Source organism: Homo sapiens, chromosome 3 (genome assembly GCF_000001405.40).
Source record: "Homo sapiens chromosome 3, GRCh38.p14 Primary Assembly".
NCBI classification, from domain to species: Eukaryota; Metazoa; Chordata; class Mammalia; order Primates; family Hominidae; genus Homo; species Homo sapiens.
The window spans coordinates 141,697,517-141,722,514 of NC_000003.12; the positions used below are offsets into that span (position 1 = coordinate 141,697,517).

Consider the following 24,998-nt stretch of genomic DNA (forward strand, 5'->3'; position numbering starts at 1 on the left):
ATATAGCATGGCGGTGTCAGATAGGGGTATTAACTGGGATTGGTAGGGGCTGGTCTCCTGGGGCAGTGTTGATTTTTGGACTGAGGAAAACCAGGGTGCAGGTGCCTCTCCAGTTAGAGGAGAGGCAAATATAAGTTGAGGTACCACAGAGGAAAAGTCTGCCTTGGCTTGGTAGACAGAACTTGTTGCATATGCTGAAAAGATGTACTGTTTTGTTATTTTCATGCATCCATACTTCTAGGGTCCCGGCTAGGGCTGCTGCTGTAAGTGGTTGTAAAGGGGTGTTTGGTTTGGGCTGGGAGGCTTTTGGGCTGTTTTTTCCCAGTGTGAGAGGAAGCGTTTTGTGTTTACTAAGATTCATGTGGGAGTGTGGCTGGATGTTGGGATAAGGAGACAGTTGCGGGTGGTGGGTGCAGGGATGGTGCATGGAGAGGGGAGCCAAGGGAAGAGGGATAAACAGGGGAGACATTGGCCATTGCACTACTCTGAAGTTTTGTTAATGAGGTGGGAGGTGTTAAGGGCTGGGGGGCTGGAGAAAGGAAGCCTGTCTTTATTGTTGGCAGCTTTGAGAGTAGTATGTTTGCTGGAAGGTTTGAGTTGTAAGGTATAGTTTCACAGTTTGGAATTTAGGTGACTGAGGGGACTGCCAGAGGGTAGATGTCATTGGTCGCACAGTGATGCTGGATAAGATAAGATTGAGTGGGTTGTTATGGCTCCTAATACGGGTTTTATTACGGCTGTGGCAGGGGGATAGGTTGGGGATAGGTCGCGTAAGTAGGGATGTAAAGTTGTAACCACCGGACCAAACTCGCTAGCTAACTTGGGGGAGATTTTTGTTAATGCCTGTATGTTGAGTTTGAGGGGGCTGTTAATGAGGATTTTAGGATGGTAGGTTACTTGGGTGGAAGTTCAGTTATAGGCTGAGGCAGGGATTATATTGTATGTTGTGGAGTGGAGGGATACGCAGAACCAGAAGTCTCTTGCCAGGGAGGAACTGGAGTTTTTTAGTTTCTGTATAGGTGTTTAGGGGTTGTAGGTATTGGTTGGGCCGAAAGAAGGGTTGGAGTATTAATTATGGGACAGGTTAGAAAGGCAGAAAGTGAGCAGAAAAGTAAATAGTTTGATTTTGTCCGGAGTGAAGCCGTAGAGAGAGCCTTGGAGGAAAAGTTCGGTTATCCACTCGAAAAAGGCTTCCAGAGTGTTGTTCCATGGGTGGAACCAGGAAATATTCTGTGAGAGGCGTGAAGGAAGAGAGTGAAGTGGCAGGACAGACAGAAGCAGGGCATCTAGGGAGGATGGGGGAATGCTTGTTTGTTAGCGATTGTGATTTTTGCTATAAGGATAACGATTAGGCAGAAGGCTAAAGTGAGGGAGACTTTTTGGCTGGTATTCCAACTGGAAGGAGTTACACTATATAATTTTACTGTAAACAATAGGGTAAGTAGTATAATAGATGGGGAATGGAGACCTCCTTGAGAAGAGGCGGCAGAGCATATATGTCAGTTTGAAGTTACGTTTTTTAGTGAGGTGAATAGGTGAGGGGAGAAGAAATATGGGTGGAAGGGGAGATATGGGGGACGTGCATTAATATGGAAGGATTGGTGGAGAGATGTCAGGATTCTGTCGGTTTGGCACTGGGGTAGGACTAGCTTCTGGTCCTTAACTCTCCAGCCCCCCTGGAGGAAGGCTCCTTGTTGTAGTAATGAGGCGATTTCAGTGGGGGCGTATTGAGGTTGGATTGCAGGGGTAATGAGGAGGAGGGAGGCAGGAGCGGAAAAAAGGGAGGCTTCTTTTGCTGCTTTATCAGCCTTTCTGTTCCCTCTTGAGATTTTATCTGTTCCTGTTTGATGTCCCCGACAGTGCATAACTCCCACTTCAGTTAGGAGGTGTGCGGCCTGAAGGAGTTGGTAAATAAGGGGGCCGTTAGTGATGGGGGTCCCTTTGGCAGTAAGAAATCCTCTCTCATGCCAGATGGCGGTGTGGGAATGAAGAATGTGATATGCATATTTGGAGTCTGTGTAAATGTTGACTCGTTTGCCTTTGGAGAGGGTTAGGGCTCTGGTGAGAGCTATGAGTTCTGTTTTCTGAGAGGAGGTTCCTGGAGGTAGGGGCTTAGCTTCAATTACTCAGTTAAGGGAAACAACCGCATACCCAACAATTTTCGGAGGGCCAGTGGGCCCAGAAGAGGAGCCATCTATAAATAGCTGGTCATCGGGGTTGGTGAGAGGCTCGGAGGAAATGTTTGGAAAGTGTGGCTGCAGGTGATCTAGGATGTCAGGGTAAGAATGAGTAGGAGGGGAAGAAGACACAGGGAGTAAGGATGCTGCGTTGAGGGGAGCACTGTTGGCAAGACTGAATTTAGGATTTTTGATAAAGAGAGCATGGAGTAATTGTATTTGGGAAGGAGGAAGGGAGCCTAAAGCTCAGGGGGAGAGGAGATCCTGTATATTATGAGGACTGTAAACAGTGATATTTTGACTGCATATTAGTTTTTTGCTTTTTAGAGTTAAAGTGGCCGCTGCTGCTAGCCTTTTAAGACAGGTTGGCCGTCCTCCAACTGTGTTGTTTAATCGTTTGGAGAGGTAGGCTACAGGGAGCGAAGAAAGGGGGATTTCTTTTTTGTTGTCCTAAGACACCGAGGGCTGTTCCTCAGCTTTTGGCAGTACAGATAGTGAAAGGTTGGGAGATATCAGGTAAGGACAGAGCTGGTGTAGTGACAAGAGCGGTTTGGAGTTTGTGGAAGCTGGGGAGTATGTTATGTGAGGGATTTAGGGGTTTATTGAGAGGGCCTTTGGCCGCTTTATAGAGGGGGCGAACTAGGAAGCACAGTTGGGAATCCATATTTTAAAGAAGGCTGCTAATCCTAAGAAGGAAAGGATTTTGCTTTTGGAGGAGGGAGCGGGTAGATGATCTATTAATGCTGCTTGGGCTGGCCTCATAGCCCAGGCCTCAGGGGAAAGTTGAATTTCTAAGTAGGTCACCATGGAGGTGGAGAGTAGTGTGGAGTTTTGAAAGGATGTCTCTGCCTAGGAATGGAGTTGGGCATGAGGGCAGGACTAAGAAAGAGTGAGTGAAGGAAAAGGTGTGCAGGGAGCAGAAGGGTGGTGGGGGGCTCGGGGTTTGGAGACTTGTCCATCAATTCCTGTAACAGAGAGCTGGGAGGACTCAGTGGGTCCTGAAAAATTAGGTAAAGCAGAGTAGGTTGTCCCGGTATTAATTAGAAAAAACATACTCGCCTACCTGCCACCATCAGGGCTACCCTTGACTCGGATGAAGTGATGGTAGTTGCCAGGGTGTCTGTTCCAGGACACCATCAGTCTTCAGCGGCAAGGCCGATGAGATCCAAGTAGCAGGTTTTGGCCAGCTCAGGAAGGGATGGGGGCGGTCCTTGTGGGGGTTGCTCACAGTCCAACTTCCAGTGGGGTCCTTCACAGAGGGGGCACAGCCTGGTGGGCTTACCTGGGTTAGGGCATTGTCTGGACTAGCGGCCTTCACTGCCACACTTGAAACAGGTGCCAGGTGGAGGTGGATTGCTAGGAGGTTTCCGTGTGGAGCTGCGGCCCCATGGGCCTGCAGGGCCCCAGATGACAGAGGTAAGCATTTGAAACTCTGCCTGTTTTTGCCTTTTTTTCCTCATCATGATTGTTAAAGACTTTGAAGGCTAAATTAAGAAGGTGGGGTTTGAGGGCCATTGTCAACCTTCTGAATCTTGTGCTGAATATTGGTGGTTTTGGCTGGGGACTGCCTTTGCACCAGTAGGCTGGGCAGGAGCCTGGTGATATGGTATCAGCATGTGCCTGAGCTAGGGTCCAGATACAGTCCAGGTCTTCTGGGGTGGGGGTGGAAGAGAGGATAACATAGAGGTCATGCCAGGTTAGTTCATAAGACTGGGTAAGGTACTGAAACTCCCTAATATAAGAGGCAGAGTCCTCTGGAAATGAACTCCTTTGTTAATTAGAGAGAGATCAGTGAGGGAAAAGGGAGCATGAATTTTATCAATACCTTCAGCTCTTGCTACTTCCCAGAGAGGAAGCAAGGGAGCTGGTTGCCGAGCATGTTGGGCCTGAGAACGGGTGAGGGGCGGAGACGGAGAGGACTCAGAGTCAGAAGCGGGGTGGTTAGAGAGAGGGGGAGAGAGGGGGAGAGCTGGAGCGGGGACTTACGGTGGAGGGTTATGATGCTGTTGGGGAGGGGGAATATCGGTGGGGTCAAAGGAAGAGGAATCATCGGCTGGGGCTGTGGGAGTGGGGGCAGGAGGCGAGTCAGGTTTGGAGAGGGCAAGGAGAATTTGGAAAGCAGAACAGGACTGACGAGGGAAGGGCAGCTATGGAGGGTGAAGAAATCCTGAACATAAGGAATTTCAGACCATTTCCCATTGCAATGGCAAAAGTTGTCTAAGTTTTTGAGCACGTCGGAATAGAAAGTGCCATTTTCGGGACATTAGGAGCCACGGTCCAATTTGTATTGAGGCCATGCAGTATTACAGTAAAAAATAAGCCTTTTAGGGCGGATTTCTGAACGGAGGCCAAGAGCTTTGAGACTGCGGAGGAGACACCTAAGAAGGGTAGTCTTGGAAGGGGTAGACTGAGAGGCTCTCACAGTGAATGGAAGGGGGCTGGGGTAGAGGAAAAAGAGACTGCTGGTGACAAGGATGGCAGGAGAGGGCATCCCCTTTCCCGTGGAACTTGTCTGGAATAGAGGAGATAATCGCCAAGTCAGGCGTCCCTGAAACGGAGGAACCAGAGGCCCGGAGGCCAGAGGAAACCCTTGGCCCAGCGCTGGGTCTTTTGGAAACGGAGAGACGGACGGTCAAGGGTTCCGGGGAATGGTAACAGTCTCTTTTTCACTCACCCTGGCGGAGGCTTTGATGGTGGATGAGGTTGCCAGCAATGGGAGATTCTAGGAGAGTCTCTGGGTCTTCGGCAGGTTCAGGAAAGGGGAAGTTGGCTTGGAGAGGGGTGATAGGGGAGAGAGAGAGAGAAAGGGAGAAAGAGAGTCCCAGCCAGCATCTATCCCCTTCCCGGGTTTTGGCACCAGAATGTAAGGTCAGCCGAGAGAAAGGACAAGAGAGAGAGACCCAAGTTCAGGCGAGTAAGTTTATTGAACCTGCTGGCTGCTTCATTACAGACAGAGGAGGCAGCCCTGAGCTTACAAAATGAAGGATTTATATGGGGGAGAGAGACCCTGGGGTTGTTTGTTGGTCAACTCTGCCACATATCACCTTGTGACGTTTATGATACTAAGGGTGTAGGTAAAGTTTGTTTGTGCTTTCCGTGACCTCCCCTTGTGCAGTCTGGATGGTTTGTAATTGGGGTTTGCTTTATAGCAGTAAGGCCTGATAGGTAAAGTCTGCTGGCTTCACCGTGCTGCCTAGATAAGGGCTTAGAAATATAAAAAGGTTTGGGGGAAGGGGAGGGATGTTGGTGATACCAAGAAGCTTTTTTGGGGCGGCTTGTCTCTAACACCTCCCTAAATCATTTTATGAAGCCAGTATCACCCAAATACCAAAACCAGGAAAGGACATAACCAAAATAGAAAACTACAGACCAATATCCCTGATGAACATAGGTGCTAAAATCCTTAACAAAATACTAGCTAACTGAATCCAATAACATATCAAAAAGATAATCCACCATGATCAAGTGAGTTTCATACCAGGGATGCAGGGATGGTTTAACATATGCAAGTCAATAAATGTGATACATCACATAAACAGAATTAAAAACAAAAATCACATGATCATCTCAATAGAGGCAGAAAAAGCATTTGACAAAATCCAGCATTGCTTTATGATTAAAACTCTCAGCAAGGTCAGCATACAAGGGACATACGTCAACATAATAAAAGCCATCTATGACAGACCCACAGCTGACCTAATGCTGAATAGGAAAAAGTTGAAAGCATTCCCTCTGAGAACTGGCACAAGAAAAGGATGCCCACTCTCACCATTCCTTTTCAATATAGTACTGGAAGTCCTAGCCAGAGCAATCAGACAAGAGAAAGAAATAAAGGACATCCAAATTGGTAAAGAGGAAGTTAAACTATCGCTGTTTGCTGATGATATCATTGTTTACCTAGAAAACACTACAGACTCCTCCAGAAAGCTCCTAGAACTGATAAAAGAATTCAGCAAAGTTTCCAGATACAAAATTAATGTACGCAAATCAGTAGCTCTTCTGTACACCAATAGCTACCAAGCGGAGAATCAAATCAAGAACCCAACCCCTTTTACAATAGCTGTAAAAAAAAATTAAATGCTTAGGAATATACCTAACCAAGGAGGCAAAAGATCTCTACAAGGAAAACTGCAAAACACTGCTGAAAGAGATCACAGATGACACAAACAAATGGAAACACATCCCATGCTCATGGATGGGTAGAATCAATATTGTGAAAATGACTACTGCCAAAAGCAATCTACAAATTCAACGCAATTCCCATCAAAATACCATCACAGAATTCGAAAAATCAAGTACAAAATTCATATGGAACCAAAAAAGAGCCTGCATAGCCAAAGCAAGGCTAAGCAAAAAGAACAAATCTGGAGACATCACATTATCTGATTTCTTTTTTCTTTTTTTTTGTGATGGCATCTTGCTCTGTCACCCAGGCTGGAGTGCAGTGGTGTGATCTCGGCTCACCGCAACCTCTGCCTCCTGGGTTCAAGTGATTCTCCTGCCTCAGTCTCCCAAGTAGCTGGGACTACAGGCGCCCGCCACCATGCCAGGCTAATTTTTGTATTTTAGTAAAGATGGAGTTTCACCGTGTTTGTCAGGCTGGTCTCAAACTCCTGATCTCAGGTGATCTGCCTGCCTTGGCTTCCCAAAGTGCTGGGATTACAGGCGTGAGCCACAGCACCCGGCCTGATTTCAAACTATACTATAAGGCCATAGCTACCAAAACAGCCCTGACTGGTATAAAATAGACACATAGACCAATGGAACAGAATAGAGAACCCAGAAATAAACTCAAATACTTACAGCCAACTGATCTTCAAGAAAGCAAACAAAAACATAAAGTGGGGAAAGGACACCCTTTTCAACAAATGGTGCTGGGATAATTGGCTAGCCACATGTGGCAGAATGAAACTGCATCCTCATCTCTCACCTTCTACAAAAATCAACTCAAGATGGATTAAGGACTGAAATCTAAGACCTGAAACTATAAAAATTCTAGAAGATAACATTGGGAAAACCTTCTAGACGTTGGCTTAGGCAAGGATTTCATAACCAAGAACCCAAAAGCAAAGCAATGAAAACAAAGAGAAATAGCTAGGACTTAATTAAGCTAAAGAGCTTTTGCACGGCAAAAGGGATAGTCAGCAGAGTAAACAAGCAACCCATAGAGTGGGAAAAAATCTTCACAATCTATACATCTGACAAAGAACTAATATCCAGAATCTACAATGAACTCAAACAAATCAACAAGAAAAAAATAAACAATCCCATCAAAAAGTGGGCTAAGAATATGAATAGACATTATCAAAAGAAGATCTACAAATGGCCAACAGACATATGAAAAAATGCTCAACATCAGTAATGATCAGGGAAATGCAGATCAAAACCACAATGCAATACCACCTTACTCCAGCAAGAATGGTCATAATAAAAAAGTAATAGATGTTTGTGTGGATGCAGTGAACAGGGAACACTCCTACACTGCTGGTGGGAATGTAAATGAGTACAATCACTATGGAAAACAGTGTGAAGATTCCTTAAAGAACTAAAAATAGAACTACCATTTGATCCAGTAATCCCACTACTGGGTATCTACCCAGAGGAAAAGAAGTCATTATACGAAAAAGATGCTTGCACACGCATGTTTATAGCAGCACAATTCGCAATTGCAAAAACGTGGAACCAACCCAAATGCCCATCAATTAATGAAGGGATAAAGAAACTGTGGTGTATATATATGATGGAATATTACTCAGCTATAAAAAGGAATGAATTAATGGCATTCACAGCGACCTGGATGAGATTGGAGACTATTATTCTAAGCGAAGTAACTCAGGAATGGAAAACCAAACATCGTATGTTCTCAATCATAAGTGGGAGCTAAGTATGAGGATGCAAAGGCATAAGAATGACACAATGGGCCGGGCGCGGTGGCTCACACCTGTAATCCCAGCACTTTGGGAGCCTGAGGGGGACGGATCACCTGAGGTTGGGAGTTCAAGACCAGCCTGACCAACATGGAGAAACCCTGTCTCTACTAAAAATACAAAAATTAACTGGGCATGGTGGTGCATGCCTGTAATCCCAGCTACTCAGGAGGCTGAGGCAGGAGAATCACTTGAACCCAGGAGGTAGAGGTTTCAGTAAGCCGAGATCGCACCATTGCACTCCAGCCTGGGCAACAAAAGCAAAACTCCATCTCAAAAAAAAAAAAAAAAAAGAATGACACAATGGACTTTGGAGACTTGGGGGAAAGGCTGGGAAGAGGGTGAGGGATAAAAGACTACAAATAGGGTTCGGTGTATACTGCTCAGGTGATGGGTGCAGCAAAATCTCACATATCACCACTAAATAACTTACTCATGTAACCAAACACCACCTTTTCCCCAATAATCTATGGAAATAAAAAAAATTTTTTTTCAAAGGAAAGACTTAGGTGAGGAAGGACTTAAGTGAGGAAGAAGGGCCTTAATGCACGCCATGAGCCTGCAGGTTTAGGTAGAACAAGAGGATGAGAGGAGGGCGGCCCTTGGCAAGACGGGAGGGTCATAGTAAGGAAGAATTTGCATGTCAGGTGGAAAGTTTGTACTTAACCTAGTAGACATTGGGAGCCATTAAAGTCTTTTGTTTCCCAAGGAATTCTTTGCCTCAAATCCTTTTGTATCTAATATTATACTTATTTTATAGCTTCCTTTCAGGGCAGACTAGTGTCATGCTTTCCAGAGTTTACAAAGCAAATTCAACAACAGCTTTCCACATTTGACAACTGTTTTTGCTATCATAAAGTGTTTGGGGGGTGAGTTTGATCTTTGGCAGAAGAGTTCTACTTGTTTCAAAGTAAAGATTCAGACTGATCTACATCAGCCTCCTGGGTGACAAGTCCACATGGTTTCCATTTGGCTCTAACTGGAAACAGTCAAACGATTTCCATGCCGGCCTCTTTGTGGACAAGAGGCTTTTGGCCTGCTGCTTGGAAAGTTGTCCCCACAATGCCATTGAGGCAAAACCTGCACTAGGAAACCTGTGCCTATTATTATTCCTCTCATTTGGAGTGATAAGAACATTTAGAGCAATACAAGAACTTGACAGCTTTACATTGAGCAACCATTTATAAGTTAATAAAGGAAGCAAAATACCTTCTTTCTATGTTTGCAGGAGTTAAAGATTTTTGTCCAAATCAGTCTTGCCTCAGTGTACCCCTGAAGATGAAGAGTTATTAAAACAAGGGTCCTCAAATTTGAGCAGCCTCAGAGGTACCCAGAGGGCTTGTTAAAACACAGATTGCTGGGCGCCACCCCTCAGGTTCTGAGTAAGTAGGTCTGAGTGAAGCTGGACAGTGTGCATTTCTATCCAGTTCCCAGGGTGCTGATGCTGCTGGTCCGAGGATCACACTTTGAGAATCACTGTTTTGGACTTGAAAAAATCAGACTGTCTGCTCCTGATTTATTTTGCACAATGAAGAAAATCAGAGAGCAGACCGAGGCTCTGAGATGCCTCTTCTCTGCCCTGAAAACCGCAGAACAGACAAGACTCAGTCCCATTTCCATTCTGGCTTCTCTGTCTTCTCCTATACTGTCTTCTATACTTTCTTCTTCTATATTCAGGGAAGCCACCTCTGAGCCCCATGGCTCTCTGTACCATGGGGATACAGGAACTAGGAATCGTGGGCCTGGAAGTTGATCGGTGCTCAAGTGGATGATGTCTGGCTTGGTCTATGCCTAGTCACAAACCTGCGAGGTCCACAAAGAGCCAAAAGATAGCTGAAGATTGGAAGTCACTGTAAGGTTGTCAGGAATAGCCACCCTCAGTTTAGATGGTTTCTCTGAGCCCTATTCAGCCAGTGCTGCCTTGTTGCCTCAAGGCCCCCAAAGTTCTTGAAAGACCCAGTGAGGACTTGGGGTATCCTGTGCCTGTTCATTCCCAGCCCAAGCCCCACAGACAACCTCCAGGGCTGTTTCAATTTTGGAGGATTTAGGACAGGGAGAGCCAGTAAGTGACTTAGGCATGTACATGGGGCAAAAATCCAACCATAAAATGGTATGTCCACAAACTTGGGATTGATCAGAACTTTACTACAGTACCATGCCACCCAAGTGGCAAATACACTTCCCCAAATAAGGCATTGTTGCTTATATCATAGCCACAGTCCACAGAAATACCAGTGGCATTAAGGAATGCAAAGACCAAGTTCAAAAGTCAAGATGTAATCTTCAAAACAGCTTTATTAGTTCCAAAACAGGAAGTTACCAGTTATAATCCTGCAATTATTTTATTTGGGGCTTCATCCTGGGGTGACAGCTAAACAATGGAAACCTTTATAGAAAGGTCCCAAGGCCCAAGGTGTGAATCATCAAACACTACATTTTGCCTTCTTAAGTCCTATAATCAAGCAAACAGTTTATGTTCTGGTTTATAAAACTAGGACTTACACAGGAAATTACACACGTTCCTTTTCGATGGAAAGAAGCTATTTTTAACAACTTGAAAAAATAATTCAACCACTAGGAGAAGGTCTACCAGGGCCTGGCATCCACAGATGAACATTTGAGTAGTGGTTAATCTGATGCCCCCCAGAATGTAGGATGCCCACCTGTTCTGGCGGTCCCAGAAGAGGCCAGCAAGCGAAGGATATGGAGAGCCTTTCTGGGGGATGCTGGTTCCATGAAAATTTACACCTGACCTTTGAGTACTGGCCCATTTAGGAAACAGGGCTCTCCTTGGAAGAAATGAGAAGAGGTTTGTCAGCTGTGTTAGGAGAGGAGGTTCCACGCAGTCAGACCACATGAAAAAAGGCTCACAGGAGGAAGGTGCCTGGCGTATTAGGCATCTGGAGGGGTGACTTTCGCCATAGAGCAGTCATTGGGAAAGAGGCTGGAAATGTGACTGAAGAGGCCAGTGGACCCACGTGACTGAAAGCCATGAATGCTGAGTTCAGGAGTTAGATTTTCTCCTGTGTGCAAAGGGGGAGACATGATGGTTTTGAAGCAGGACAGTAGCATAGTGAGAACAGGATTTTTGAAAAGCATCTTTGGCAGTTTTGCAGAATGTGCTTTAGAGAGAGGAATAGTTAGAGGATAGGAGACTAGTTATGGGCTTTTTTTTTTTTTTAAGTTTAAATGTATTTTATTTTTAGACAACCTATGTGACATGTTTTTTTTTTTTTTCTTAAAAAAACAAGGCCTTCACTCCACATAAATCACAGTCAAAATAAATGAAGGGCCCATTTGTCTTAAGACCTGGTGTTTTGTGGATGGCAAGCAGCAGCCATTTATGATGATAGGTGATATATTCAAAGTAATTGCCAAATCTGTTAATATTTACCCATTTCCAAACCATTGTTAAAGAAAATCATATACGGGGTCACACCATCCTCACGGTAGTTCAGTAGAGCAACCATGCCATCAGGATTCATATTTTCATCAAAAAAGAACTGGTAGTTTTTGAAATTAGCAAGGATGTGCTTGATGTATTCTGCAGTCCTACCATAAAAGGTTTTACTCTTTCTGATCTCTCTTCTTCAAGTTCGCCTTTCATTGATTTCGTGTCGTCTTTAATGTACTTCTTTTTTTTGTTTTCTTCTTGAGATAGGATCTCACTCTGTGGCCCAGGCTGGAGTGCAGTGGTGTGATCATGACTCACTGCAGCCTTGACCTCCTGGCCTCAAGCAATCCACCCACCTCAGCCTCCCAAGTAGTTGGGACCATAGATGTGACCACCATGGCCAGCTAATTTTTTTTTTGTACAGACCGGGTCTCTTCACGTTGCTCACACTGGTCTCAAACTGGTAGGCTTAAATGATCCTCTCACCTCAGCCTCCCAAAGTGCTGGAATTACAGGCGTGAACCACCTTGCCCCGCTGATGTACTTGTAGGCATCCTTTGTGAAGCTGGTTTCCTGCAAGTGATGGTTCATGACAATATCAACACCAATAGATGACTTTGGGTGCTTTGGATACCTTTGCCCTTGGGGCCTTCAGAGGAGGCATTTCCACCAATGAGCAAGTCATCAGTGTTACCCTCTGTCCTGGTGATTATCTTCTCCTCCACTGTCAGGCACAGTCTATCCACAATCTCCCAGTTCTCATCAATGTCAGAGGGCTTCTCATCGTGTCTGACGAGGTCCGCTGAAGGAAGAGGACAACTGCACTAGCTTAGCAGGATTCTGGAGTGGTGTCGGGAGTCAGGGATGAGAGGGGAGTGGTAGGAAAAGCAGGAAGCTTTTACACTGGTTCAGGCAAGAGAAGATAAAGTGAGGCTGCAGTGATAGAAAGATGGAGTCTCGATATATTTAGAAGGAAGAGAATTGACAGGACCTAGTAGCCAGTTCAAAGAGGGTGGTGAGAAAGATTCTCAAGTCCAGGACACCTGGGGAAGCTTGGCAATTGACCAAAGAGAAAATGAGAGGAAGCACAAGGCTGGGTGGGTCCATACTAGATCTGTGGAGTGGCTGCCAGGGAAGGTGTGCCATTGTCCTCCTGACCCTCAGGGAGACAGTGGTAGAAGGAAGGACCCTTGCACATGAAGTTTCTTCACCAGGTTGCTCCCATTTCAGTGTTTCAGTGACGTATGAAAGCCAGAGATAATGCTGGCAAGCGAGGCACTAAAACTGTGTCCTACGTGCCTCTACCACCACTATTTCACAATGCTTCCCAGCCGTCCTCACAATGCTTCTAAGAGATGGGTATTATGATCTCTATTTTGCCAGAGGAAATTTAGATTCAGAGAAGTCAAGTGACTTTCCAAGGAGTTTCATAGCATTTTCCGGAGAGGTTTTAAACCTGGAGATTCCGCACATCTCACTACACCACCCTGCCTCTTGGGCACAACCGGGCATAGCTATGCCACTGCTAAATTCTCCCAGACAGAGGGGATAAATTAAAATGGTCATTGTTAGTGAGCCTGTTTTTGTTTCAAAGTAAAGAAATGTAAGATTAGGTAAAAAAGGGTTACGGTGAATACAGCTGGGGTGTATCAAGTATTACCAAGGCCTGAGCACATACCCACCCTTACTCCAAGGAATTTGTTTTCAACCTAGGGAAAAGAATCCAGTTTTGCTTGAACTTTGGTTAAAGCCCTGGAGCAGGAAGTTCCTGTACTGAGCAATGCCAGCCTTCCTATTATCTAACAGGGCCACCGTAACTCATTAGAGGTCTAAATTCTGGAGAGTGGTTTTGACTAGCATTTTCCAAACTGGTTATTTTTCAGGCAGAGATGACATTGTGACCTCTCTTATCATCAGCTGGAGGGAGACTTTGATTGTTTTTCCCATGGGAGTACACATTAGACCAGGCCAATCACAGGCCTGGAAGTCTCTTCCTCTCCAAGGGCACACGTTTGTGCCACACTGGCTAAGTTAGGGATGTAGACTGGCTAAGATGACGTATTTCCTTGCAAAGCTGAGCAGCTGTAAAGGAATTTAGCTTTTGGCTTTCAGCCTCGGCCCTATTGGTCACCACTGCTTTCTATCATGCCAGAAGGAGACAAAAAGAAATGGATGCCACATGTGATCAGTATCCACATCATTCATCATTCTGGGCAGTCAACTTACGTTTTCAAATGCATTTTTCTCTGTGAAGAGATTTTACAAATAGAAAAATCATATTTCATCTTGTTCACGAGTGGTCTCAAGGCATTATTGCAAACACTGTACTTGGAAAAGCACTGAACAGTGAGATAAAGTTTCCATAACACGATTGCAGTTTACACTCTATTAGTCATTGATTCATTGATTCATTGAACAAACATTTATTAAATACCTACCATGTGCCAGATACTATTCTAGTGTGAATAATGTAGCACTGTTATATCATTCATGACAGCTGTCATTTGCTATCATTCCCATGCCTTACTTAGATGTAAGGATGAATGAGATTTAGACAAGTTAGGCTTACCCCTAATAAAACCAAAAGATGGGCCAGTGTTCATCCCTCCAACTGTGTTCTAAAGGAAAATAAATCCTTCCTATTTCCTTTTTTTTTTTTTTTCAAGACAGAGTCTTGCTCTGTCATCCAGGCTATGCAGTGGTGCAATCTCAGCTCACTGCAACGTTTGCCTCCCGGGTTCAAGCAATTCTCCTGCCTCAGCCTCCCAAGTAGCTGGAACTACAGGCACATGCCCCAACACCCGGCTAATTTTTGCATTTTTAGTAGAGATGGGTTTCACCATGTTGGCCAGGCTGGTCTCAAACTCCTGACCTCAAGTGATCTGCCCTTCTTGGCCTCCCAAAGTGCTGGGATTACAGGCGTGAGCCACCACGCCCAGCCAATCCTGTCTGTTTAATCCAACAACCCAGCAGATTAGATTCATGTCCAAAGAAACCAATCAAATCCTTTTTTTAATAGCATACTTTCTACTCTTTTTCCCCAACCGGCAACCTAGGAAGGCCTGATGTCCAAATTTATCTCCTTTTCCTGAAAAGCAAGTTTTCCCTCCAGGCTTGAAAACTTATGCTTGATTATCCTTGACTCTGTTCTCTTCCTTGCTCTAACCACGCTAGTTAACATTCACTTAATGTCGGCTTCATAAGGGGAGGGATTTTTGTCTCTTTTGTTCTCCGTTGGGTCCCTGGCACCTACACCACTGCCTGACACATAATAGGAGCTCGAAAATATTTGTTAAATGCTGAAGGAATTCAAGTCTTGTCTAGCTCCAGGGTTAGGCTCTCGATGGTGGACATTGTGGACAAAATTAGTGTATAGTTAAATGATCCTTTAAAATTCCGTAATTTGCCCACACATTACAATATCTAGGCATATTATCTCTAAGTCCCACACAGTTTCTTCCCCAGTTTTGGAACAGATCACTTGGTCTTTCTTCAGTTGGATCCAGATGAAGTAGTTGGTTAGTGTTTAGGGGGCACATATAACTCTAAACACTTGTAGGCCCCCAGAAAAAGTTTGAACGTGGGACTGCCAATTCCTATTTCCCATCTCATACTTACTGAGTGGATGAGCCCTCATTATGCCTGTGATTATTTCTTTTCCTCCATTCCCTTCCTGTATTTTTCTTTGCCAAACTCCTAAACTTGAACTGACATAAATTAAATGTGGACCTGATGCTGTTTCCCAGCACTGACAATAGACTCTACAAAAGCTGTGTCGACTGACAAGTGTGAACCAACCCCAGGAACCCTGAGCCCAGTCATGAATTCTACAAAGGCAGGATGGTTCTTTCTCCTTCAGATTTTCTCTTTTAAAGCTCAAAAAGGTAACAGCTTTTCAGGCTCCTTTAAAGGGCTGAATTCCTTCACAAGAACTATCACTTCCCCTAGATCAGTGGGCAACTCATTCATCTTCTTCCAGGAAATTTCTAGATACATCATTTTCCTCTTCAAAGTAAAGGCAACAATCTAAATCTTAGATGGAATTTCCTTTCATGCAGAGTAATTTTGGGCTTCTTGTTCTAAAGAAGGAAGGATGTACTGAGTATAAAACGAGGACTTTAAAAATTATATATACAGTATTTCCTTGACTATACTGCAAATGCATCTACTCACACAAGTCCAGTAAAGTACAAGCTAAAAGAATAAAGTCAGCTTAGCTGGTGACAAACAGGGGAACTATTGTCTAAAAATAATAAAATACTTTGATTTTCTTGTAGGAATCAAGAAGAAAATTGAAGGTCTGATGGAAAGTGGTCCTTGGTTAGTGAAGTTGCATTAGGCAGATAATGGCATAGATGGAAAAGGAAGAGAAGGAGAAAATGGTTTATTGGAATTCATTCAAACTTTAACATGGTAAGTAGCAAGTTAAGAGGCTTTATTTGTTCACCTTTTAAAACTAAGTGCTTGAATTAAATCATGGGGATAATTATTTAACTGCACCTTTTTAGCAGTTTCCGATGAGGTTTTTCAGCTCTGAGAGCCAAGCAGTGACCCATCTTGGTCTTGGTACCTAACGTGGCAAACAGTTGTGTGTGGACCATAAAGCAGTCTCAAAGACCTCACTAGAAGCCCCATTTTAAGAAGTTGGCAACTGAGGAAAAACAGGAAGTATGACCTCCCAATTTTTCTTTCTTAAAGTCAGGATATAATGTAAAATGTAATCAATGTGACCTGAGGAAGAAGGGCGGCCTACTCAGGAGTGAACACTCTTTTGTGTTTGATTACAAAGTTGTCCCAGCCTCCTCAGGCAGAAGGACACAGCTATTCTCAAAAGCTTCTCAAAAACAGGATATTTCCTTACCTTGTTTGTCTTGAGAATCTTAGGCATTTCCCTGTCCAGGCCTACTGAGTCCACATCCCCAGTGGGCCAAGTAGGATTTGCAGCTACTGTAGAAAAAGCTTGCTGGGTGGAAACGACTCCAAGATATATAGTTTCAGGTAGTCGATAGTGACAGCACCATGGGGACAGTCAAGGGCAACAGAACACAGCCAAGGCTTGAGGCTTGAGAGCTTGATGGATGGCTACTTAGTATTATTATTACTACTTTTATTTTTATTTTTGAGACACGGTCTTACTCTGTCGCCCAGGCTGGAGTGCAGTAGTGCAATCTCTGCTCACTGCAACCTCCACCTCCCTAGTTCAAGCAATTCTCCTGCGTCAGCCTCCTGAGTAGCTGGGACTACAGGCGTGCACCACCACACCCAGCTAATTTTTGTATTTTTAGTAGAGACAGAGTTTCACCATGTTGGCCAGGCTGGTCTCAAACTCCTGACCTCAAGTGATCTGCCCACCTCGGCCTCCCAAAGTGCTGAGATTACAGGTGTGAGCCACTGCACCCAGTCTACTTATTATTTTAGAAGAAAAATATTCCTTCTCTGTCTGGGCATGGTGGCTCACACCTGTAATCCCAGCACTTTGGGAGGCCGAGGTGGACAAATTACTTGAGGTCAGGAGTTTGAGACCAGCCTGCCCAACATGGTGAAACCGCATCTCTACTAAAATACAAAACAATTAGCTGGGCATGGTGGCAGACACCTGTAATCCCAGCTACTCAGGAGGCTGAGACAGGAGAATCACTTGAACCCAGGAGGCAGAGGTTGCAGTGAGCCAAGATCGTGTGCACTCCAGCCTGGGCAACAGAATGAGACTTCATCATGAAAGAAAGAAAGGGAAGGGAAGGGAAGGAGAGGGGAGAGGAGGGGAGGGGAGAGGAGGGGAGGGGAGGGGAGGGGAGGGGAAGGGAAGGGAATCTTCTCTAATATACTTATTCAGGAAGGCTGGGAAGATTTTCAACTTTAATAGCTTCTCTGCTTTTCTATAATAATCCTATTAATAACCTTCATTTCATTGCCCTTTTAACACAATGCTGATTTAATATATTGCTGATATATTATGCTTTTAGTATATTGCTAAAATTTTGTTAAGGATTTTTGCATCTATGCTCATGAAGCATATTAGTCTGTACTTTTCTTTTTTTTTTTTTTTTTTGAGATGGAGTCTCGCTCTGTTGCCTGGGCTGGAGTGCAACGGCATGATCCCGGCTCACTGCAACCTCTGTCTCCGGGTTCAAGGGATTCTCCCACCTCTGCCTCCCAAGTAACTGAGACTACAGGTGCGGATCACCATGCTTGGCTAATTTTTTGTATTTTTAGTAGAGGTGGGGTTTCACCATGTTCGCCAGTCTGGTCTTGAACTCATGATCTCAAGTCATCTGCCCAGCTAGGCGTGAGCTACCACACACAGCTGTACTTTTCTTTTCTCGTAATATCTTTGTCTGGCATTAAGATCAGGGTAATTCTGGCTTTACAGAATGAGCTAACAAGTGTGCCCCTCTCTTCTATTTTATGAAATAATTTGTGTAGCATTGGCATTATCTCACCCTTAAATATTCAGTAGAATTATCAGTGAAAACATCTGGACCTGGAGCTTTCTTTATGGGAAGGTTTTTAACAACAAATTCAATTTTTTTTTTTTTTTTTTTGAGATGGAGTCTCTCTCTGTCACCAGGCTGGAATGCAGCAGTGCAATCTCGGCTCACTGCAACCTCCACCTCCCGGGTTCAAGTAATTCTCCTGCCTCAGGCGTGAGCCACCATGCCTGGTCTAAATTCAATTTCCTTAATAGATATAAGGCTATTCTGGATATTTTATCTTGAGTAAAGCTTTAGTAGTTTGTGTCTTTCAAGAAATTTATTTCATCTAATTTGTCAGATTTATTGGCATAAAGTTCTTCATAATATTTTCTTACGATCCTTTTAATGTCTGTAGCATCTATAGTGATGTCTCCTTTTTCATTCTTGATATTGATTACTTGTGTTTTCTCTTTTCTGATTGATCTGGTTAGAAATTTATTAATTTTATTGATCTTCTCAAGGAACCACTCTTGATTTTCACTACTGTTTTTCTGTTTTTAACTTTATTGATTTCATCTCTTGTCTTTATTATTTCCTTTATTCTGCTTACCTTGGGTTTAATATGCTCTTCTCTTTCTCGATTATTAAAGTGAAAGCTTAAGTTATTGATTTTAAGTTTTAATTTTTCTAATATAAATGTTTATGTTAGCACTAAGCACTGCTTTTATTGTATCCTACAAATTTCGATATGTTATATTTTCATTTCATTCAGTTCAAAATATTTTCTAATGTTCCTTTTCATTTCTTCTCTAACCTATGGGTTATTTAGAACAGCTCTGTTTGGTTTCCACATATGTGTATATTTTTTCAGATATCATTCTGTTTTAATCAAGAGATTAAGAATCTCTTGATTCTTAATTAAGTTCTGCTGTGGTTGGAAAACATACCTGGTGCAATGGCATGATCTCGGCTCACTGCAACCTCCATCTCCCGGGTTCAAGCGATTCTCTCACCTCCGCCTCCCAAGTAACTGGGACTACAGGTCCCACGCCTGGTGTGGTCATGTAGTCCCAGCTACTTGAGAGGCTGAGGTGGGAGGATTGCTTGAGCTCAAGAGTTTGAGATCAGCCTGGGCAACATAGCAAGATCTCATCTCTAGCGGAAAAAAGGAACACACTTGTTTTATTTCTTTTATGGCCCAGATCTGATCTATCTTGGTAAATGTTCCATGTGCATGAGAAAAGAATGTGTATTCTGCTGTTACTGGATTGAATGTCCCATAAATGTCAATTAGGTCAAGTTGGTTGGCAGTGTTATTGAAGTCTTCTATATATGTACAAATTTTTACATGTTCTATCAATTATTGAGAGAGGGGAAAATTGTGATTTTGTTTATATCTCCTTGTAGTTTAATCAATTTTTGCCTCATGTATTTTGAAGCTCTGTTTTTAGGTACATAAACATTTTTGATTGTTGTGCCTCTTGATGAATTGACACTCGTCATTATGAAATGCTCTTCTTTATCCTTGGTAATGCTCCCTACTTTGATTGATATTAATATAGCCACTACAGGTTTTTTTAAATGAATATTTACATAATTTGTCTGTTTTCGTCCTTTGGTTTTAACCTATCTGTGTTTTTATATTGAAATTGGGTTTCTTATAGACAGCATACAGCTGAGAACTTCTTTTTTTATCCATTTGACAATCTTTGTCTTTTAATTGTTTAGACCATTATATTTAATGTGATTATCTTTATGGTTTGTTTGGTTTTTAATCTATCATCTTGCCATTTGTTTTCTATTTGTCTCATCTGTTCCTTGTTCCTTTTAAACTAGTTTTCTGTTGCTTTTTGGATTAAGTAATGTTTATAAGTCCATTTTTATATCTTTTATTGGCTCGTGAGCTATACCTCTTAGTCTTTTTTTTCCTAGTGGATGCTCTAGTGTTTACAGCCTTCACCTTTAACTTATTACAGTCTACCTTCAAATAACTTTATACTACTTCACTTATAGTATAAGAATCTTACAACAGTATACTTCCATTCTCTTCCTATCCTTTGTGTTTTTGTAGTCATATATTTTACCTTTACCAGTGTTATAAATCCAAGGATACATTATTATTATGTCTAGTTTAAGCAGTTGTTTTTTTAATAAGGGGGGAGTTTTTTATGTTTATTCACATATTTACCATTCTGGCATTCTTTAGTCCTTTGGCTATATTCACATTTCTATGTGATATCATATTCTTCTGTCTAAAGGACTTACTTTATACATGCCTTGTAATCCTGGTCTGCTGGTGATGAATTCCCTAAGCCTTTGTATATCTAACAAGTCTATGCTGCCTTCATTTATAAAGTTTTTTTTTTTTGGCCGGGTACAAAATATTTGATTGATAGTTAATACTTTTTTTTTTTGGAGATGGAGTCTCACTCCTGTCGCACAGGCTGGAGTGCAGTAGCGCAATCTCGGCTCACTACAACCTCCACCCCCTGGGTTCAAGTGATTCTCCTTCCTCAGCCTCCCGAGTAGCTGGGATTACAGGCGCCTGCCACCATACCTGGCCAATTTTTGTATTCTTGGTAGAGGCAGGGTTTCACCATGTTGGCCAGGCTGGTCTCAAACTCCTGACCTCAGGTGATCCACCTGTCTTGGCCTCCCAAAGTGCTAGGATTATAGGTGTGAGCCACCACTCCCAGCAGACAGTTAATACTTTTAAGATGTTGCTCCACTATCTTCTGCTCATATTGTTTCTGAAGAGACATCATTTTTATCTCTATTCTTTTGTATATAATTTGTTTTTATTCCTCTGTATGCTTTTTCTTCTTCTTCTTCTTCTTTTTTCAGACAGAGTCTCACTGTCACCCAGGCTGGAGTGCAGTGACGTGATCTTGGCTCACTGTAACCTCTGCCTCCCCGGTTCAAACAATTTTTGTGCCTCAGCCTCCCAAATACCTGGGACTACAGGCGTGCAACCAATATGCCCAGCTAAATTTTTTTTGTATTTTTAGTAGAGACAGAGTTTCGCCATGTTGCCCAAGCTAGTCTCAAGCCCCTGGCCTCAAGTGATCCGCCCATCTTAGCCTCCCAAAGTGCTAGGATTACAGGTGTGAGCCACCATGCCCAGCCTCTGGCTGCTTTTAAGACTTTCTTTTTATCACTGGTTTTCAGCAATTTAAGTATGACATGCTTAGTGTGACTTTCTTCTTGTTTTTTCAGATTGTAGTTTGTTGAACTTCTTAGATCTATGCGTTTGCAGTTTTCATCAAATTTAGAAAATTTTAGACCACTCCTTTTCAAGTATTTTTTTTCTATCACTCCTGTCTTTTATTCTTCTGAAACTCTAATTATATATAGGTTAGGCTACTTGATTTTGTCCCACAGCTAAATGATGTTGTGTTCTTTTTTTTTCGGTCTTTTTGTCCTCTGCATTTCACTTTGGGTAGTTTCTGTTGTTATGTCTTCACATATTGTCTACAATGTCTACTATGCTACAAAGTCCATCCAATGTGTTTTACTTATCTCAGACATTGTACTTTTTAATTTCTGAAAGTTCAATTTAAGTCTTTTTTTTTTTTTTTTTTTTTTGAGACAGAGTATCGCTGTGTCACCCAGGCTATAGTGCAGTGGTGTGATCTCAGCTCACTGCAATCTCCACCACCCAGGTTCAAGCAATTCTCCTGCCTCAGCCTTCCAAATAGCTGGGATTACACGCACTCGCCACCATGCCTGGCTAATTTTTGTATTTTTAGAGACGAGTTTTCACCATGTTAGCCAGGCTGGTCTTGAACTTGAAATATTTTGCACAGATGAATTACAAAGTCACCACCTCTGGCAAATGAATCAGAGGAAATTCCCCTTCCAGGTCCACGCTTTGGAGCCCAGCATTTGGCAAGCAGATCTCTGTTTGATTTCAGCCCCACTTACCCTCTTGGAAGGCACCTTGTGCAGGGCACAAGCACTTAACCATGTGGGTGGCCCTGGTCACAGCTGGCGTGTAGTGAATGCTCCATCAAACCTTAGCTCATGTGAGGCTGCATGGTGTAGTGGTGAGATCCAAAGCCTCTGGAGTCGACCTAGATGTAGAATCATTGAGTTATGAAGTTTGTCCTCCTCACTTCCTGACCTCCTTCTGTGGACCCTCTGTTCCGCCTCACATCCCTGCTGTCCACTCATTTTGTCTGAAGACAGTGCACACAACCAGGCAGTTCAGGAAGCCAAGGCTGGTCAAATCCTGACTAGGCCGACTGTTTCCTCAAGAGCAAGACCTTTGAGAGAGTCTGGCAGGACCATTCAGCTCTGGCCTTGCATTCCAGCTGCTGAATCAGTGGAAAATATATACAATGAGCGAGAAAGTAGACTCATATTCAATGTGGACCCTAACTGAAATTTCATACCTGCAGCCCATGGTAAGGGCTTGAAATTGCTTTATTGATAGTCATATAACTTCTTTCAGAGCAGAGGCCATGTGTCAAACCTCTCTTAATCCCTGCAGTGCTAGGTACATAATATGCATGTAATAAGTATGCACTCAATATACCATCAGCGGCATTGCATTTGCAAAATGCTTTCACAGAAATGACTTCATTCTGTTTTCACTACAACCTTACGAAACAGACAGAACAGCCTTTTTCAGGCCAGTTTTATAGATGAAGGAGGTGAGGGCACATAGCCTGCCGTCATCACATGATCTGACACGTGATTTGACAAGAGGTTGAAGCTGACCAGGAGTCCAGGCCTTTGCCCAGATTTCTTATTCACTCATGATGCCAGAGAGTCCCAAAGACCAGTCAGCAGTCCAGTGCAAGGCCTGCACTTTAAGAAATTTCCCGTGGTGGCACATGCCTGAATTCTAGCTACTTGGGAGGCTGAGGCACAAGAATTGCTTAAATTGGAAGATGGAGGTTGCAGTGAGCCAAGATTATGCCACTTCTCCCCAGCCTGGGTGACACAGCGAGACTCTGTCTCAAAAAACATTTTTTTTCAATAGTCCTCAAAGAAATTACAAACGTAATGACAGTACAGTTTACTTTTCATAAAACTAAAGTTATTTGATTTAAAGAGCTACCCTTTGTTTTCAGACTATGCCCTTACTAATTTGATGTAAAAATGTTTGCTCGTTTACGGTGTGGATAGTTGTTATTTCTTGACATACTAAAAGTTGCCAAACCTTTGTCTGTCGCTCTAAACTTTTGGACATTTGCTGGTATGTAAAATCTAAACCAGGAAGTCCTGCATTACGTTATATCATACCATATCTTTTGAGTAAATAAACGAATTAAGGATTTAAAGCAACCAAAAATCCTTATTCTACCAACTTACCTAGGAGAAGTATCCAAACTAGAGAGAGTAGATTGGTAAAAATTGGTTTCGGGGTGTCTTTGGTCTCACATTGGGCCAATGCATCATCTTGGGTTTGGGGTTGGGGGAGGGGTTTAAAAAGAGAGATCATTCTCCAAAATAACTGGATTGAGGTTCTTTGAGTAACAATGCTTGACACGATGCCTGTGTGTGTGTGTGTGTGTGTGTGTGTGTGTGTGTGTGTGTGTGTGATTTTCTTTTGACAGCCTGATCAAATACTCTGCCTACTTAAGGGAAATTGACCTTGGAAACAATGTTCTGGGAGAAATGGCTGCTGCTAACATACTTGAAGCGCTGAGAGCCAGAAAGACAGGTAGAGTGTTTTCAGATTATGTGTTTCCCCTCCACCTGCCCACAGCCACTCACTCCTAAACGCTGTACTACTCACAACTTGCTCCGCTTTTTTCATTTAAGTAACTGGCCCGAACTATGCAATGACCAGGAACACTGTCACAGGCCAGCCATCATTGTGTCAATTTTCCCGGTGATTTGCACAGAGTTCAAGAATTTCTAGGATGTCATATGTAGCCTTCAATCTAAGTAATGCATGTTTTTAAAGGGAAATTTTCTCTATTGCTTTTTTTCTCTCTTGATCCTCTCATCCTTGCCTGTTCTCGAAGAAATGCTTCTCCCACTCTCCATTCTCCTCTCAGCCCAATCTGCAAAGAGGTCTCCAGATATCAGTTGGAAAACTCAAGTAACACCCCCCCGTAAGATTTTGATGTGCTTTCTGGATCATCAAACGATGATTAAATTGTGATTGGCATAGGGAGAGCAGTAAGTCTTCTATGATCCTGCAATCCTTTGAAAAGGAGAGAATCACATGTGGAAGGAGTTGGTTCCAATGGCCACTCCTGCCCTCTCCATCGCCAGCATGCATGACTGGAATTAATGACGGCTGCTTGCCCTGCTAATGCAGAGGAGGTGAAGAAATGTCATTTTAAATGAAGCTCAATGGAAGACTTCATAAACAGATTTGAAAATGCAAATTCAACCTTAAGGAAAGTAGAAAGAACTCTTGGTATGTTACTGGGCAGGTCAAGCGGAGAGAATTAAGCAGTCCAAGCATCTGTCTCTACCATTTCCTCAGAATGGTCTTAGAGGCATAGCATAATCATAGATTGCATTTTTCTTTTAATGCTCTAGAGTTTTAGATAGAAGAATTATAATGATATTACTGTATATTGTATTGACATTTTTAAAACTAAAACTCCTACATTTTTAACAGCCAATCAAGTGATTCCATGATGTTTAAGTTATCCCTTTATTTTAGAGAAACAGAATATCTACTTTCTATTCCATTAGAGTTGAATTCAATTTCAGCAGAATTACTCTGTTAAATTTAGTTCAAATATAGCTTTAAGCTTGATAAACTGAAGGCAGGTTAATGCTTTCATTTGTTTTTCCTGGCACCGTAGTAACTTTTTCATTGTACATTGAGGGAGAAGATGTTACAAGTCTGCAGGCAGTCTCATGACCATGACTATAGTGAATGCTAATGACAATCAGTCTCAGATGACTTGATGGAAAGTGATTATCTCTGAGTATGTATTTGGAGCTGGAAAACATCATGCTTTGCTTAGTAAATGTTTTAATTTGCATAAATGAGAAGATAATTATGAAATATCCACCTGAAAATACAAATACGCATTTAGAAGGCATTAAAAAGTAATTTATAGTTCAAGAAATCTTTTTTTCAAATATAGTAATATGTATCATGAGTAGCCTT

General features: G+C 42.9%; 2 pseudogenes across 1 annotated transcript in view; one reads left to right on the forward strand and one right to left on the reverse strand.

The window, feature by feature from the left end:
• LRRC78P (leucine rich repeat containing 78, pseudogene) overlaps positions 1 to 23,558 on the forward strand; it is a 57,876-nt pseudogene extending 34,318 nt beyond the window's left edge. The window contains exons 7-8 of the transcript NR_136190.1: positions 15,776 to 15,911; positions 23,476 to 23,558. The product of NR_136190.1 is annotated as a leucine rich repeat containing 78, pseudogene (transcript). The remainder of the gene's footprint in view (positions 1 to 15,775; positions 15,912 to 23,475) is intronic.
• Positions 11,494 to 12,211, reverse strand: TPT1P3 (TPT1 pseudogene 3; annotated as a pseudogene).
• Positions 23,559 to 24,998: the final 1,440 nt, after the last annotated feature.